The sequence below is a fragment of the Homo sapiens genome, chromosome 8 (assembly GCF_000001405.40).
Source record: "Homo sapiens chromosome 8, GRCh38.p14 Primary Assembly".
NCBI classification, from domain to species: domain Eukaryota; kingdom Metazoa; phylum Chordata; class Mammalia; order Primates; family Hominidae; genus Homo; species Homo sapiens.
The window spans coordinates 15,502,948-15,522,550 of record NC_000008.11 but is presented as its reverse complement, the minus strand read 5'-3'; the positions used below and the strand labels follow the sequence as shown (position 1 = coordinate 15,522,550).

Sequence of the window (19,603 nt, the reverse complement as noted above, 5' to 3'; positions counted from 1 at the left end):
AAAAAAAAAGGCTGAATAGGCTGGGCATGGTGGCTCATACCGGTGATCTCAGCACTTTGGGAGGCCAAGGCGGGTGGATCACCTGAGTTCGGGAGTTCAAGACCAACCTGGCCAACATGGCGAAACCCTTTCTCTACAAAAAATATAAAATTTAGACATGTGTGCTGGCGCAGGCCTGTAATGCCAGCTACCTGGGAGGCTTAGGCACAAGAATTGCTTGAACCCGGGAGGCAGAGGTTGCAGTGAGCCAAGATAGCACCACTGCACTCCAGCATGGGCGATAGAGCAAGACTGTCTCAAAGAAAAAAAAAAAACAAAGGGCTGAATACTATTTATTGACTTACTAGCACTTACCCATGACTTGTGGTGGAACAGCTTGGTAAAGCTACCTGGACCTGGTATAAAAACTCTTGACCTGATTCCCTGAAGCTTGGACACAACAATAGTCTACTGTAAATGAGATGAAGATTTCAGAAATGCCTTGCCATAGCATTGAGGAAAGAATCAGAGGCAAGGGAGGTTGGAATATTGTAACATGCTTCTCATTTCTAACCCCAGTAGTTTGAGTTACCTAGAAGAGCAGCTATTCGTTTGCTGCAAAAGTAATTGTGGTTTTTGCTATTACTTTAATTGCAGAAACCACAATAACTTTTGCACCAACCTAATAGCTAGTCACTCAACCATGTACAACCTTAAAGAGCAGAGCAGTTAAGGCCTTGGGTCTACCCTTGACCAATAGTGAAAAGGACCAATAAGAAAGAGGAGCCAATGGCCAAATGGAGGTATCAGTTCTGAGACACATTTCATAAAGTGCCTCAGAAGGCCTAATGAAAGCTTGTGTAACCAGTGGCCCGCAGGCTGCATCAATTTTGAATGCAGCCCAACATAAATTCGTAAACTTTCTTAAAGTTTATGCACGTACCTTTTTTTGGGGGGGGTAATTACCTATCGTTTGTGTTACTGTATTTTATGTGTGGCTCAAGAGAATTCTTCTTTCAATGTGGTATGGGGAAGCCCAAAGATTGGTCACCCTGGATGGGATCATGTGCCAGTCTCCAATAGTTGAGACCAACTGAATGAAACTGCTATTATGGCTGGTTGGTTGTAGATTTACAAACATCCTTGTAAAGGATGTGCCTTTTCTCTGTTTCATTCCTGCTGCCCCTCACTCCTTCCCTATAATCATTCTGGTAGTGTGACAGGTCCCCCACCAGGTTAGTTAAGGGTATATTGTCACTGCATGAACCCTGAAGGTCAGTGGTAAGCCAAGGCCATGCTACCCAGCCGAGGATCAAGCGTCCCTAAGAACTCAAGCATCCCAGAGGCTATCTGGAAACATACCAAGGAAAACAGTTCCATTATACATAAACGGCAGGCAAAGAGCCAGAAAATTAGCTTAAAGGCAGCTTAGAAGTGAGAGGTGGCATGGATCTCTAGCACTGTCCTGCTGCCATCCAGGAATGCCCTGTATGTAAGTCCTAATAAACTCATCTACTCGTCAAGCTGGACTCAATGTTTGGTCCCTTGGCACTTTCCCAGTTTGGGGAGGGAGTGGTACAGTCCCAAGCTTTTCTTGTAACAATCTCCAAGTAAAATAACTGTGCATAGCCTTTATTTCAGGCTCCACTTTGGCTGACAGCTTTGTCATTTCATTGTTAAGGGTGGTTTGCTTCTATTTCTCCCGCTGAGACTATAAGGACAGGAACTTCAATTTACTCATTTCTGCATCCCCTTGAACTAGAACACAGAAAAACCTTACTGTATGTTTGTTGAATACTTTATGGTGTTTGTAGGAAATTTCTTGTGGGTAAAGGCAATAACAAGGTGGAGAACGGAATTGCATAGGTAGAGAGAAATATGAATGCATGAGGAAAACTATGGAGGAGTTAAACCTGTGAATCTCCTCTATCATTTATATGTTTCTGTATTTCCAGGTACATGCAATACAAATATTGGTTATCACACAGTGCAGAGGTTTAATACAACACAGAGGCAGGAATGTTTCAAGGCATGTTATAGGACTCTTTTGATTTCATAGAAATATAGATAAATGCCATTTAAATAACAGAAGCTAACCATGACCAACAATTTGTAGAATCCTGTTAAGCCCTGGACTAAGCTGTTTGCGTAATAAATTATCCCATTTACAAATGAGGAGATGAAGGCTTTCAGAGGTTGGATATCTTACTCAAGGTTACAATGTCATTAAGTAGCACAGCTGGAAGGAAAATCCAGTTGTATGATAGTATTCATTTGTCTTCAAGATGTTAAAGATATTTAAACATATCTATATCCTTAAAAAATCAGGAATCCCTATTGACAGAGACCATGTCTCACTCTTTTTTCCTCTTTCTCAGTGTTTCATAATGCCTTGCAGAAAAGGGGTGCTTACTGAATTTGGATGACAAAGAGATTGTGTGACTACAGAAGAATTAGAACAGGAAAGGATAACAGGATGAAAGGGGAATTGGAAGAATGAAATCTCAGAGTCTGAATCTTATTAGGTACACACTGGGGGCTCCAAGGACAACATCAGTGAAGTGGCAGTTTTTAAGAGCCAACAGTGAGCAAAGAGATTGCTAATTCTTTTATCCATAGGTCCCTCCAATCTCTCCATTTAGGTATATTGAGAGTTATAGTAGCTATGACAATATGGCAAGACTATTATTCCATATGAACACATCATTAAATGAGCTTGAGAATTTTCATGCATTAAAGTATTTTAACATAGAACAGGCACCTAGTTGCCTTTGATAGTAAATATAGACCTTTCTACAATTATATAATTACTTAATCCAGTGGTCCCCTTAATCCAGTGCTTTTTGGCACGATGGGACTTGTTTCATGGAAGACAATTTTCCCACGGATGGTGGGGATGCAGGAGGATGGTTTCAGGATGAAACTGTTGCACCTCAGATCATCAGGCATTAGATTCTCATAAGGAGTACACAACCTAGATCCCTCAGGTGCACAGTTCACAATAGGATTCTTGCTCCTATGAGAATCTAGGAGGAGGAGCCCAGGTCATAATGCTGGCTTGTCACTCACCTCCTGCTGTGTGGCCTGGTTCCTAATAGGCCAAGGACTGGTACTGGTCTGTGGCTGAGGGACTGAGGACCCCTGACTTAATCTGTTACAGCTTCAAGTGACTGTAATTTATGAGTAATAAGCTTGTTGAAAGCCTATATAGCTGTAACAAAGAAAAGCTATAAAAAATGCTGATTATATGAAATATACTTCTGGGATTAATATAAAAAGATATAAATGTCTTTACAACTTTAGTAAGTTTCAATTAGGATTTTATCTCTAAAAAATTTTTAAACTATCCTGAAATTAGCCAAATAAGAGAATAAAACATGATCATTATTCTCAAAATCATGACTTCTCCATCATCCTTCAACAATTTAATTAAAAAATGAGTAATAAATCTTAATGTCAGTAGATGTGTATATCAGAGTGAGCAAGAAGCCAAATCAATGAGCCAAAATCCAGGACCACACAACACTGTTGTAATAATGTTTTTGTTGTATAAGCAGATGCTATTTCATGTTTTATTTGCATACAGAGATTTAATATATTGATTCGATTTTAGTTTAGACTTGTAGAATCATGGGCAAAGTTCACTGAACATTTTCAAATAGAGAAGAAAGAACAGTATAATTTAGATTGATTCCATTTTTATTTTAAAATGGGATTATATTTTCATATTTAGATGGGAATTTGAGCATACAATTTGTGTTTAATTCTATAAAAACAAGAGGGATTATTAGCATTGCTAACTTTAAATGCTCCTTTAAGTACATACTAAATGTACCCCTACATAAACCATTAATGACAGTAAGCTGCTTTAACCCTATATTTTTCATCAAAGTTCAGATTTGCTGCTAAGACTGGTAGGCATTCCTGCAAATATGCAGTTCATTTAATGTCTATAATCCTATGGAAAAAAAGGAAAGGATATAAATATTATAAAAGCTGAGATTGTATTTTCATAAGGAGAAGTGACTTGAGACACTAATCCAACCCAACTAGTTAAAATAAACACTTTTCTGTTATAATAAATATAATATCCCATATATAGTTCCTTTAATACAGAGAAGAAATACAGATTTGAGAAGGCCTTGATAACATTTTCTATTTTTCCTACTATTTTTCTATTTTCCATTTAATATTCAACTTTTTTCCCAATATCACACACTATATGGATAAAACTGTAACATGTATAATTTGAGATTATAGCAAATAAAAGAGCCAGCAAATTAAAAACACATGGCATTTTGATGAAAAGATACGGTATTTTACATGAGAAAAGGTAATATTGACCACAAAGAAGTACTAAGCTAATCATAAAACTAGAAAGGAGGATTTCAAGAGATAAGCCCAAAAACTGTGCTAAATGAAACAAGCCAAGTACAAAAGCCCACATGGAATTATGTAGATTTATATGAAATCTACAGGCTAAGTAAATATACAGAGACTGAAAGTGGAATAGTTGGTTACCGGAGGCTGGCAAAAGGGGTAAGGAGGAGGTAGGAACAGGTGCGAATGTGTATGGGGGTTTTTTTTTGTTTGTTCTTGAGGGTTGTAAGGATGTTTTCAAATGTAAATAGTTGCGATAGTACCAAAGCTTTACAAACATAGTAAAAACCACTGAATTGTACAATTTAAAAGGGAAATTTTGTGGTATGTGAATTATATCAGAAGAAAAAATGATAATAAATTTAAAAACACATATGCATTATTTATGATAACATTGGTAGAAACTTGCAAATTTCTTAGGTAAAGAAATTTAAAAAGCATGAAGCCCAGAAATATGTAATTGAAGTGAACTATTTATATAATACAGCTGATGATTAGCAATTGTTTCGTGTGCAGTATAACTTGAAATACAAGACAAGTCTCCTTTTGAGGTATACATTCGTAAATTTTGTAAGTTTTCCAGGAAGTACACTCATCCAACAGCTGTGTAAACTGTAAATGTGAATGTTGTGGGCTTTTTTTTTTTTTTTTTTTTTTTTTTTTTTTTTTGCCTCACGCTAAATGTTAGGAAGCTCTCACAAGCATTTAGATTTTCAGTCATTATTTACCATCTCCCTAGTAGGTGTATAGATGTATATAAATATATCCATTTTCCATGTCTGACTTTGTAAGTCTGTGTGTGTAATTGGGATTGGCAATACAATAGCAAAGATCGGGGTGTAATTCAGCGTGATGAGGTACGAAGAATAGAGCACTGCTAGAAACGAGACTTGAGTTTTCATTTTAGCTATGGGCGTAAATTTTTACAACACTACACAAATCAATTATTTGTTCTTCAGTTTCTCCATCTATAACATTTTTTAAAAATTGGGCTAAGATAAATTATGGCAAATTGGTGTAATCTCAAGTGACAACTGAGCTATTGCTAGAGAATCCCTGGAGTACTTTGTTCAGAAACTTGGCAAAGCTCCCATTGAAAATGCAGCTATTGATTAGTGACGTCGGTCATGGGTATAAAGGCACAAAAGGATCTAAGCCCTGGTACCATGGACTAGATGATCTTTGAGGAACTTCTTATTTCTAAAATTCTATCACATTTAATTAAAATTTTTACACAGTATTCAATTCAACTAATTTCAAGAGCATGAACTTATTAATCTCACTCCTTAAAATTACACGGAAATAATATGAACATTCTAATATTTATACTACTGTAAAAATCATAGACTCATTTGGAAATATAATCTTTATAATGGATAGTCCCCATTTTTATATTTTGTTTGAATATCTATTACTCTTCATTTTTATTCTTCAACAAACATTACAGGAGTAGTAAATGACCTTTTATATTTCATAGGATTAATTTGTCTAAATATGGCCTGCCAAAAGTGAAAGATTTTTGCCCTCTGGTTAATAGTAGTGTGAATGTGAGAGAGAACACTTCAAGTAAAGAATGGCAAAACAAGCATTTCGAGGAGGGGCCAAATGCTTTCAGTTCCAATTTATAAACTTACCTACATTAATTAAGAAGAGTAATCTCAATGGTAAAGGAAATCTGCACCATTTTCAGGGGGAAAAATATCACCTGCCATAGCATCAAGAACCTATGTATGTATCAAGAGAAATATCAGAGATCCCAAGTGTAATGCTTGGTAATTGAATAACGCCCTGAAGTAATCAAAATGAGAAGTGGTCTGCAAGAAGTCAGCTAGTACATAAAATGAAATTATCGGTAATTAAGGTAAATGAGAACACTTAAATAACTTGCTTTAAAAACTTGAAATAAACCACAAATTAATGCATTCCTCTGTAATTGTTTTAATACTAACTATACACTGAATATATCAAGGACAGAATATAAGATATGTCAATTCTAAGATCAGTGAAGTATCTCTGATACAATAGATGAGGGTGAGTCAAATTCAGTTGACTCAACCATGAAAGTCATTAACAATGAGTAACTATAAAAATCTAGACTAATCTTACTGCTTTATACATTCTTCTGAAGTCCTCTAAAACTTGTTGAGGATAATTTCACACAATAGAAAATTCTGAGAAAATGCTAAGGACATAGTAAACAATTTTTACAGAATATAATTTTGGGGCCCGGCATGGTGGCTCATGCCTCTAATCCCAGCACTTTAGGAGGCCAAGGAAGGTGGATCACAAGGTCAGGAATTCAAGACCAGCCTGGCCAATATGGTGAAACTCCGTTTCTACTAAAAATACAAAAAAAAATAGCCGGGTGTGGTGGCGAGAGACTGTAGTCCCAGCTACTTGGGAAGCTGAGGCAGGAGAGTTACTTGAACCTGGGAGGGAGAGGTTGCAGTGGGCCGAGATTGCATGACTGCCCTCCAGTCTGGGTGACAGAGTGAGACTCCGTCTCAAAAAAATATGTATATACATACATATATATATATTTTGTATCATATAATATACTGTATAAATATTTCCATCAGAAAAACTTGATTAATAAAAACTCCAATGATATTTTGCTCTAGGCTGGTGTTGACAGTCTTCAAATCTGGTTTCTAATCTATACCTATTAATGAACCAAGGAAAATTTGCTACCGTCAGTCATTTGCTAGAGTCAGAAAGATGCTGAATGACTGTTCATACTATAAATAAAGGAGAAAAATGTGAGTAAAATGCACAGCTAGATTATCAGGGAATCTTCTGTAAGTTCATCATTCAGGACTCTTGTCTTCATTCTTCAGTGGACCATGTTAGTAAAAAATCTGAGAATATTTAATTTTGGTAGTATTGTTGTGTCACTGAATCTTGGCAGCTGACAGAGCTAGATGTTCATTTTTTCATTTTTTAGTTGTCCTTGGAAAAACATCAAAGTAGAAAGCGACAAGCTCATCCTAAAATTCAACTCCCAAGTAGCCAAAACAATCTTGAAAAAGAAGGAGAAAGTCAGAAGACTCCCATTTTCTGATTTCAAAACTTTTCACAAAATCAAGACAGTGTGGTCTTGGCTTAGAGATAGCCAATTCTTTTCCATCGGTGGAAAAGAAGTGAGAATCCAGAAAAAAACAAAAACATGTATTGATAGATTCTCCAACCAAAATTAAACACTATTGTCATTTATGGAGTATTCTCTATATGTCAGGCATTGAACCTACAGTATTTGTGTATTTTCTTCCCATCTTAACCACAACTATAAAATATAGTTTGTATTATACCCATTTTATTGATAAGGAATCTGAGGCTGAGAGAGTTGAAATCAATCAGCCTAGCGAGTGGCTGAGTCATAATTCTGAACTGAGGTCCACCTGATGCCACAGACTAATTCCAAAGGGCTCATGAGCACCATCTTCTGTGATTACTTTGATGTGTCTTCATAAAATAAATAAAGTGAATATTAAAACATACTAACACTAAAACATAATTGTAAAGATAGTTTCATTAACAAATGTAGTAGGCTCTTCCATATCAAAAGCCAAACCAAAACAACACAAGACATTGCAATTATGCATCTAGAATATGCACGAGGCATGAAACTCTGGGCTGTGAAGAAGCGGAGTTCCGTTTTCAGCATGATTGTAAGGTAAGTCTACAGTTCAGATTTCACAAACTTCTATTTTTGGTTTTTATACTTCAAATTTTTTAAAGTATTACAGCATCCAAAGAAATATATTTTATTTTATATGCTTTGTAATCATGAGCAAGTTTCTGTATCCCTATTAATTTTCTTGCTCAACTTCATTCTTTGCACAATGTTATGAAAACATACCTAAAATATAAAAATAAATTACTACCACAAATCTAAATTCTATTTTGAAATAAAACATCTATTTTGTCAGCTTAGACCTAATGATGCTTTCATCATTCACTCATAATACACACAAACAAACCAGATCTGGGTATCTACGTAATTACTAGAGCACAACACTCCCTTAAATAATGCGGCGTAAATGACATTACATTAAATCCAGCTAGACTTTACACTAACAGAAAGCACCTCTCTTTGTTAATGCATATTTGGGAAGTGGTGGCGCATAGAAGGGACCTTGACGTTCCTAGGATGAAAAGTACTGGTTATGTTCCTTTAGGCTGTAAGAGGGGCTTTATTGTATGTAAAGAAGAAGGGGAAGGGAGCTGAGAGCATGAAGGTGGGAAGAGGAAGAAGGGAGAGGAAGAGAAGCTGAGGCATGAGGCAAAGGAGATGGAGGACAGACTAAAGGTGGAAAAATTTGGGAGCAAGTAAAAGTTAGACTGAAAAGAGAAGGAGCTTGCTCATTGACTCTGGTGAGATATAAGTGCAGTTGGCTCCTATGAGAGTTTTGTCACGTACCTGAGACGCCTCCTCTGTCCCCAGAGCCAACCTGCTGCTTATGACTGGAAGCGAAAATGTGTGTAGACCCAGGTAACACACCAGACTTTACCCAAAACGACTGTAACTCATTTATCTAAGATGAGTTTTTTTCCTAAAACAAAGCACTTGACCACCATTAAATCTACCGTCACTAAGACAGCATCAAGATTCTCAATTACGTTCTTGAGTCTAAAAAGGACCTAAGTTTAGTTATATTTTTTCTTTGCCTCTTGACTCAGTTTTACAAGCAGTTCCTGAAAACTTTGAATATAATCTTGTATTAAATTAGATTAGATTTTGCCTTCATGTTTTTAAATTACAGTCTGCAGTTCTCAATTTATATCCAGCAAATATCCCTAGGAAAGATAAAATGAAAAATTTACTTCCAACCAGCAACTTCCATCTCCTCATTAATGGTCATTTAAAAAATTATTTTTTATGAGTAAGTTTTTTTTACCCATGACTATAGTCAAGTTGCTTATCTACTGTGTGGTTTCTTTTATGAATTACAGCAATTATACTACATTTGTAGCTACCAAGTTGGTTAGCCTTAATCTTATGTTTTAGAGATATTTATCATAATCAATTTTTTGTATATGATGTCACACTCATTTGTGAGTTATTTTCATTTACTGTTTAGGTGGCTAGATTAATTTTTCGAGTAATAATTTTGGTAACGTTACAATTGTAATTCCTAACTTCTTGAATATATGGGGTTAAACGTGCAGCATGCAATCTGGGAAAAAAATTTGACTTATGTATGAGTGAGAATTTTCCAGAGAAAAAGAATCATATATATATATATATATATATATATATGATTATATATATAGATACATATATATACACCGAGAGAATTGTGTGTATATATATATATACACACACATATATATACACACACACACAAATATATATACACACACACACACACCCCAAGACAGAATGGGATTTATTGATTGATTGATTGATTGGTTGACTGAAACAGAGTCTTGTTCTGTTGCCCAGGCTGTAATGCAGTGCTGCAATCTCAGCTCACTGCAACCTCTCCCTCCCGGGTTCAAGCAACTCTCCTGCCTCAGCCTCCCATCTAGCTGGAATTATAGGTGTGTACCACCATGCCAAGCTAATTTTTGTATTTTTAGTAGAGACGGGGTTTTCCCATGTTGCCCAGGCTGGTCTCAAACTGCTGACCTCAAGTGATCTGCCCACCTCAGCTTCCCAAAGTGCTGGGATTACAGGTGTGAGCCACCGTGCCCAGCCAGAGAAACATTTATTGTTAAAGAATTAGTTCACATGTTTGTGGAGGGTTGGGCAGTCCAAAATCTGATGGAGTAGACTAGCAGACAGGAGACTCAGGAAGAGGTGCAGTTCTGGCCCAAAGGCAGTCAGCTGGCAGAATTCCTTCTTGTTCAGGGGAGGTCAGTTTTTCTTCTGTTAAAACCTTCAATGGAATGGGTGAGGCCCACCCTCGTTATGGTGAGTAACCTGCTTTACTCAAAGTCCACCAATTTAATTGTTAATCTCATCTAAAAAACACATTCACAGAAATATCTAGAGTATCGCTCTCCTGTTTCATTAATCTATTTCTCTAACTTTTTACAAATATCACAGTTTCAATTATTATAGCTTTATAGTAAGTTTTGAAATTACGTAGTACAAGTCTTCCAACATTGTTCCTCTTTTTCAAAGGTGTTCTGGATCTTCTAGGTTCTTTGCATTTCCATATGAACTTTAGAATCAGCTTGTCAATTTCTAAACACGCTTACTGGAACTTGGATGGGGATTGTATTGAATCTATAGATAAATTTAGGATCAATTGATATCTTTGTAATATTGAGTCTACTGATCCATGCTCCATTCATTTAGTACTTCTTTTTTTTTTGAGACTGTCTTGCTCTGTCGCCCAGGCTGGAGTACAGTGGCGCAATCTTGGCTCACTGCAATGTTCGCCTCCCAGGTTCAATCAGTTCTTCCTTCCTCAGCCTCCCAAGTATCTGGGATTATAGGCACCCACCACCACGCCCGGCTAATTCTTTTATTTTTAGAAGAGTTGGGGTTTTACCATATTGGCCAGGCTGCTCTCAAACTCCTGACCTCAAGTGATCTGCCCATCTTGGCCTCCCAAAGTGCTGGAATTACAGGCGTGAGCTACTGCACCCAGTCCTTTCTTATACACCTTTTATCAAATTTATCTGTATTTAGTATTTTTGGTGCTATTATAATTGGTGGTATTGTGTTTAAAATTTAAGGTTCTGACTGTTCATTGCTAATATAGAGAAATACAATACATTTTTGTATATTGACTTTGAGTTCTTCAACCTTGCTAAATTCACATATTTCTAGTAACTATTTTGTATATTCCATCACATTTTCTATTTATATGCATAATCATATCATCTACCAAAACTACAGTTTTGCTTTCTCTTTCTTCTATTCCAATCTGGATTTCCTTTCCTCACCTCCCTCCCTCCCTTCCTTCCTCCTTCCTTTCTTCCCTTCCTCCCTCCTTCTACTGGAGAGAAATTCATTCCAGCACTATACTGAATAGGAGTAGTAAGAGTGAACCTTCTTGACCTGTATTTGAACTTATGGGAGAAAGCATTCATGTTTTCACCATTAAGTTTGGTATTAGTTTTAAGTTTTGGGTTTTGTTTTTTGGGGGGTGTCCTTTATCGGGTAGAGGACGTTATCTTCTATTCCTAGCTTGCCAAATGTTTTATCCGCAGTGGATCTTGAATTTTCCAAAACATTTTTCTGCTTGTATGGAAATCAATAAATGGTTTTCCTTTTTAGTTTGCTAATAAGGTAAATGGCATTCACTGATTTTTCAACAAGTAAACCAATCTTGCATTCTACACATGAGCCCTCTGCCAATTTTAAAGTGATTCCATACACTGTTAAATTAAATTTGCTAACATTTTGTTTCGAATGTTTGTGTCCATAGTCATGAGGGATATTTGTCTTTCTGTTTTTTTTTAAATAGTATCTTGGTTTTGTAATGAGAGTAACACTGACTTCATGGAATAAGAAAGCATTCCCCGCTCTTAAATTTTCAGGAACAGTTTGTGTAAAATTGGTGTCATCTCCTCCTCAAATGTTTGATCAGATTTATCAAGAGAGCCATCTGGGCCTGGAGTTTTCTGTGTGGGAAGGTTTTTAACTACAAACTGATATTTAAAAAAATATATATAGTGTTGGGGTTGTCTGATTCTTCCTGGGTGAGCTCCCGTAATTATCTTTTATGTATTTGTGTATTTCACATAAGTTGTGAATTTACTGCATGCATTTATATATAATATTTCCTCATTATCACTTTAGCACCTGTAATTTCTGTAGTGATGTCATTGCTCTCATGTCTGATATTGGTAATTGTACCCTCTCTTCTTTCCCTGATCAGTCTTTTTAGAACTTTATCAATTGTATTGATCTCATAAAGAACCAGCTTCTGGTTTTACCAATTCTTTTCTTTTTCCCTTTTTTCTTTTAGGTTTTCTATTGCATTGGTTTCCACTTTGATTGTATCTATTTTTCTCCTTCTTTTGGCTTTAATTTGCTTTTCATTTTCAAGATTTGCAAATGTATTAATCTAAAGGCACTGATTTTAGATCTTTCTTCAGTGGTGTGATCATAGCTCACTGTAACCTTGAACTCTTGGGCTCAAACAATTCTTCCCCCTCAGCCTCCCAGGGAGCTAGGACTACAGTTGTGCACCTCCATGGCTCGCTATTTTTCTTTTTATTTTTTGTAGAGATGAGGTCTTGCTATGTGGCTCAGGCTGCTCTCAAACTCTTGGCCCCAAGCAATACTCCTGCCTAGGCCAACCAAAGCTTTCTGGATTCTCCTGGTAAGCATTAGATAACTGGGGAAATAACTTATTAAAATTTCAAAAATACATATTTTGGTCAACTAATATGCAAGAAAACAGTCTCCTCATAGATTCACATTCATCTCACTTACAGATTATTGTATTAGGCCAGTTAATGGATAGGGATGTAATATGAGCTTCAAAATCATCTGCATTTAGAGATGAATAGGTAAAGTCCAAAATATTAAGAAGTACAAAGCTACAGTTAAGACTACAAATTTGTCACGCTAATACTTAATCCAATGTTTCTGTGCTATTTTATTATGATTTTTTTTTTTGAGATGGTGTCTCACTCTGTCTCCCAGGTTTGAGTGCAGTGGCACAATCTCGGCTCACTGCAACCTCAGCCTCTGGGATTCAAGTGACTCTCCTGCCTCAGCCTCCCGAGTAGCTGGGATTACAGGCGCCTGCCACCTCACCTAGCTAATTTTTATATTTTAGTAGAGATGGGATGTCACCATGTTGGCCAGGCTGGTTTCGAACACTTGACCTCAAGCAATTTGCCTGCCTTGGCCTCCCAAAGCGTTCGGATTACAGGCATGAGCCATCACGTCTGGCCTTTATTATGATTTTGAATTTCACGTAGCATTCAGTTAAAAAAGTTAAGGAAACTAACTTAGATGGCTGTGGTTTAATTTATTGACAAGAGCATCAAGAAAGAAGAAAAGACTATCATCTCCAATATTTGCTCTTCTGTACTCTGTTGTTGGAAAACAATGTGGATTCTTAGCAGAGCAAAAGACTGCATCCTTACTTGGGTCCTTACTGTTCCTCAGCTATTCTTTTTTCTCTCTCCCCCTCAGCTTCTTCTCTCATTCCTCAAAGCAGTTCATTCACACCCTTCAACACTTCCCTCTCATTCTGAGCTGAAGATCTTATCTTGAATTATAACTCTACCAGGCGCAACTTCTGGAACCTGAGACAGTTATATAACTTTCTAAACTTTCAAATTCCTATTTGGTAAACTGGAGACAGTAATAATGCCAACCCTACATGGAAGAATTAAGGTAATATATTACAAGCTGTTGACAGAGTGAGTAGCAGAGTAAGCTCAATACACTTTGGTTTTTGTTATCTTTATTAATGCCTACTTTTTTTCCTATTCCACTTAAAAAGGAAGCTTCAGGACAGGTGCGGTGGCTTACGCCTGTAATCCCAGCACTTTGGGACGCCCAGGCGGGTGAATCACAAGGTCAGGAGACTGAGACCATCCTGGCTAACACGGTGAAACCTGGTCTCTACTAAAAATACAAAAAATTAGCCGGGCATGGTGGCAGGCGCCTGTAGTCCCAGCTACTCGGGAGGCTGAGGCAGGAGAATGGCACGAACCCGGGAGGCGGAGCTTGCACTGAGCCGAGATGGCGCCACTGCACTCCAGCCTGGGCAACAAGAGAGACTCCTTCTCAAAAAAAAAAAAAAAAAAAAAAAGGAAGCTTCGATTCCTAAACTACCTCAAAGTTACCTAGACATTTATCTATAATCTCTCTAAATCCAATGTCCTTTCTCCCTCCCTGAGATCTTGTCATTCATTTCTCTTGTTCTTCACCTCAGTTAATAGGATATCACATCCAACAAAATTTTTTATTACCCATAATTTGTCCAGAGCAAGGTTTTGTTTTGTTTTTTGTTTTTGTTGTCATTGTTGTTAGACAGAGTCCCACCCTATCACCCAGGCCAGAATGCAGTGGCGTGAAATCGGCTCACTGCAACCTCTGCCTCCCGGATTCATGCAGATTCTCCTGCCTCACGTTCCTGAGTAGCTGGGACTATAGGCACACCACCACACCTGGCTAATTTTTGTATTTTTAGTAGAGACGGGTTTCCCCATGTTGACCAGGCTGGCCGTGAACTCCTGGCTTCAAGTGATCCACCCACTTCGGCCTCCCAAAGTGCTGGGATTACAGGCCTGAGCTACTGCATCTGGCCTCAGAGCAAGTTTTGACTCATCTTTCGTTATTTTGGCTCAAGTTTTACCTCCTCTATTTAAATGTGCCCACCTTCACTCCTTTCCATCTGACTGTACCTCTTGGGGAGGCCATTAATCTTTTTTTGTTCACTTTGCCTTTTTTTTATTTAACTATAGTTTTTTCCTTACATCATCCTCTCTCTCTCTTTTCCCAAGTAGACTGTTAAAGAGTACAAAGACTTCTATTAGTTGAATTTCCAATACCTATCAAGTTCTCAATACTTAGTGCTCATAACATATTTTTGTATTTTGTATTTTGTATAACATATTTTGTATATGGGAGGTTTCCGAAATCATCCTGATTTACATCTTTATAGATTCTTTTGACTTTAGAAGACCTTTAATTAACATTTAAAAATTGATAAAACTCAAAAAAGGGAGAGACTCCTGATTTTCCTTAATTATAGAAATTAGCTAGAATCTGAAAAATACAAAAAAAGATGCTTTTCCATGTATTTTTCCAGTTAACTATCTGCCTTTTAGCAAATATTCCACTTTCAACTGTGCAGTTCTTTATTAAGAGGATTTTGATAAGGCATGAACTATAAAGGGATCAAAGTTGTATATATGAGAGATAGCTGAAAAAATAATAATAAGTAACTTTCCTCTTCCTCTAATTAAAAAGGACCCTGAGGCCAAGGAATTAAAATATGCAACAGGACAAACCATGTTTTTAAATGTAAAATACAGGAACAATGTCACTTTGTTTCTTTTAATGAATGCAGAGCCAAGTTCCTCTATAGTTTGGACTATGGAGGGCAAGGGGGAGCTCCCCTTGGCCCTCTGAAGGCTGGCCAAAAAAATCAACTTACAGAAGGCAAGTTAATTGGAGAAAAAACATACAAAGTTATTTCATATGTATACATGGGAGCCTTCAAAATGAAGACCCAAAGATACAGAGGAAATTGTCCATTTTCATGTTTAAGTTAAACAAAGCATAAACAGCCATCTAGAAATATGACCAGACAAAAAGGGCATGATCTAAGCCTAGCCGACCAAGACAGGAAATGCAGCAAGGCCTGTCTGTCTACATTCTTCCTGGCTTCTCTGAGCATGCATTCCTTCCTTCCGGGTAAGGGGCAGGGCCCTTTCTGGAATGGCTGTGATTTGGTTTGACCCACCGAAATCTCATCTTGAAATGTAGCTCCTATAATCCTCACGTGTTGTGGGAGGGACTTGGTGGGAGGTAACTGAATCATGGGGACGGGTTTTTCCTGCGCTGTTCTCGTGATAGTGAATAAGTCTCACAAGATCCGATGATTTTATAAAGGCACTTCCCCTGCACACATTCTCTTGCCTGCCACCATGTAAGGCGTGTCTTTGCTCCTCCCTTGCCTCCTGCCATGATTGTGAGGCCTCCCCAGCCATGTGGAACTGTGAGTCCATTAAACCTCCTTTTCTTTACAAATTACCCAGTCTTGGTATTTCTTCATAACAGCATGAAAATGAGCTAATACAAGGGGTCATATGATGTACAGTCAAACAAGTTAGGTCAGATAATTCCTTTAGAAGGTCCGTTTTTACACAGAAATGTGGAGTGAAAGTTACAGTAATGTTTTCAGGTTTTATGGCTGACTTTGGGGAAAAGGGATTCTGGTTTCTATGATCCACCTTGGTAAAGAGGGATTTAGTTTCTAGAACTAGCCTCAGGGGAGAGTGGGACTGAGAGAGAGGAGGGCAGGGGAAGCTCAGAGAAAAACTTTTGCTTCAGAGGCTGCTTTGGAGGCCTTTATTTTGGGGTACTGTTTTCTAAGCCCCAGCAGATAATATACTGTGTGTTCTGGTATGATGTGGAAGTCACTCTCTTTTTCATCCTCTCTTATAATAGTCTCCCGTCAAGGCAGGTTTACAATCACTGATGCAAAATCTCTCATCTAGAAACTACTGCAAACAAACACTAGCACACCAGGGTGCTGTGAACAGGGATCAAGAGTCAGTAAAATAGATTTTTAAAAATTGCTTTTAGCCTAATCACTGTATCCTATTGTATGTTTGTATGACCAGATTGGGCAAGAATATGTTCCTTAGGATTTTACAGAGATTCTGTATCCAAGTACAGGGAAAGAAATATTCTCTCAACTATGGAAGACTATTGAATTTTTTCATGTATTCACTAGGAATTGTCGCTTACTCTGTAGGGTTTAAAACTAAAAAAAACAGAAAAAAAATACATTTTAACTTTACAATTATAAAGTAGTGCTCCCATTCTGCCTGATTATAGTATTCATCAGTTAAAAATGCAGTTTCTCTGACCCCACTTCAGACCTGCTGAATCAGATTCTCCAGGGAGAAGCCTGGGTATTTCTATTTTCAGTTGGTGATTCTTAGGACAGACAAGCTTGGGACATACTGTAGTAAAGGAAACTATGGAATCGGAAGATTCAACTAGTATGGCAACAGAAAACACAATAAAAAACGTACAGATGTTCCCTGCTGGAGATTTTACCAACAGGAATAAAAATGGTGCTAAGGTTATGCAACAGCAATTAACACTCAAATTAACTGAAAAAGGAATAGACATAGTACATTAAGTACAAACCTGAAAAATGACAAGACTTGGCACAATGCCATTATAACACATGAAAAGTCTGGCCATCAGAACAGCATTCTGGGTTTTTTTCTTTTTGACAATTGACAGTGCAGTTTAACTTATTGACAAAGCCTTCTTGTTTGGAAGGATCATTCCTAAAATATTTGATCATCCAGAAGTTGCTGCGGCAAATAACCTGAGTCATCTGTGAAAACAGTCATGAAGTAAAGCCAGTTCTCATATGGATGACAGATGATTTATTCCAAGTGGCGGATGGAGGGCAATCTGTCATATTTTTACAATGTGGGAGGTGGAATTTCTAGATTCCTGCCATTTGGCAGCAATATTTTTATTATTTTGGTTAATGTTTAATAGATGTTGATACAGTATTGTTTAGGAAGCCCGCACCTCATTTGAAATAGAAAATACATGAATTACGGAAAGAAAGACGCAAAATTGCCTGTAATCCCGGCACTTTGGGAGGCTGAAGTGGGCGAATCACAATGTTAGGAGATGGAGACCATCCTGGCTAACACGGTGAAACCCTATCTCTACTGAAAATACAAAAAATTAGCTGGGCATGGTGGCAGGCACCTGTAGTTCCGGCTACTAGGGAGGCTGAGGCAGGAGAATCGCTTGAACCCAGGAGGCAGAGGTTGCAGTGAGCCAAGATCGCACCACTGCACTCCAGCCTGGGGACACAGCGAGACTCCATCTCGAAAAAAACACACAAAAAAAAACCCACTTAAAAAAAAAAAAAAAAAAAAATATATATATATATATATATATATATATATATATATATATATATCCTGAAAGTTGCCTTTAATAGGATTAAAATAGAACAAAATAGGAATTCTGTTTGGCAACCTAAAGGAAGGGCAATAACTAATATGGCAGTAGTAGAAATATGTTTCTTAATGAACTGATGTTAATGATAATGATGGTAACTAATACTAACAACAACTTTCCCTTGTTGGGTGTTTACGCCTATTTTGTGCTAGGCATTACACTCAGTAGTTTAATGGACTAATTTATTAAAATCTCACAAAACCTCTATGAGGTTTTAGAAGTCTATGTCAATAAGTTAAACTGCACTGTCAATGTCTATGAGGTAGGATCTCCAGCGATCTTTATTTTGTAACTGAGGAAACGGAGGCTCTCAAAATTACTCAGCTGGCAAGTGACAGAACCAGCATTTGAACCCAGGCAGTCTGGCTCTGAGGCCTACACTATTAACCTCTACCCTATTGTATTCATGGCTTTCTTTTGCTGGAAGCATGTGTGCCTCATTTGACTCTAGTCTGAAGCGAGCAGTGGATAGGATAAATAAACGGTGTGTTCTTTTCTACAGAATTTTTTTTTTTTTTTTTTTTGAGACAGAGTCTCACTCTGTTGCCCAGGCTGGAGAGCAGTGGTGCGATCTCCGCTTGCTGCAACTCCACCTCCCCTGTTCAAGCAATTCTTGTGCCTCAGCCTCCCAAGTAGCTAGGATTACAGGTGTGCACCACCACACCCAGCTGTGGAGCCATTACCATTTTTGTATTTTTAGTAGAGATGGGTTTTGCCATGCTGCCCAGGCTAGTCTCAAACTCCTGGCCTCAAGTGATTCACCCGCCTCAGGATCCCAAAGTGCCGGAATTACAGGCATGAGCCATTGTGGCTGGCCGATATTTTTTTGTTTAAGACACAAGATTTCACTCTGTTACCCAGGCTGGAGTGGAGTGGTACGAACGTAGCTTACTGCAACCTCGAATTCCTGGGCTCAAGCAATCCCCCCTTCTTAGCCTTGTGAGTAGCTGGGGCTACAGGTGTGAGCCACCATGTCTGGCTAATTTTTAATTTTTTCTAGAGATAGGGTCTCATTAAGTTGAAGGAAGCAAAGCCTACTTAAATTGAAAATACATATTATTGAGAAATTTCAGATCATAGGGCAGAAGAAGAAGGTCCTAGAAGTATCCAGAAAAAAAAAGTATGTCAAGTATTAGTTTTCCAGGGCTGCCATAGCACAGTGCCACAGACGGGGTGGCTCAAACAAGAATTTATTTTCTCACAGTTCTGAAGCCTACAAGTCTAAGATACAGGAGGCGGCAGGGTTAGTTTCTTCTGAGGCCTCTCTCCTTGGCTTGTAGATGGCCATATTGTCCTTGTGTCTTCCCACTGTCTTTCCTCTGTATGTATTTGTGTCCACATCTGTCATGTTAGATTAAGGCCCACCGTAATAATCTCATTTTAATATAATTACCTCTTTGAAGACCCAACCCTCCAAATACACTCACATTCCGAGGTTCTGGGGATTTAAGACTTCAGCATATAAATGGCGGGAAAGTGGACATAAACCCGTAACTGGTTTCACACAAGGATGGGTCTCAGAATGGTTTAAATTTCTCTAACCCTGTAAGTAAAATACCTTTAAAATCATAAGGTTTCTAAGTTCAGCCA

At 37.8% G+C, this 19,603-nt stretch overlaps 1 protein-coding gene and 1 long non-coding RNA gene across 5 annotated transcripts in view; one reads left to right on the top strand and one right to left on the bottom strand.

The window, feature by feature from the left end:
* The window catches only part of TUSC3 (tumor suppressor candidate 3), a 434,904-nt gene that overhangs the window by 329,541 nt on the left and 85,760 nt on the right, over window positions 1–19,603 (bottom strand). The gene's annotated exons all lie outside the window — the stretch shown is intronic.
* LOC124902060 (uncharacterized) overlaps window positions 15,922–19,603 on the top strand; it is a 32,974-nt gene continuing 29,292 nt past the window's right edge. Inside the window, exon 1 of the long non-coding RNA XR_007061173.1 lies at window positions 15,922–16,007. This is a non-coding gene — a long non-coding RNA (uncharacterized LOC124902060). The remainder of the gene's footprint in view (window positions 16,008–19,603) is intronic.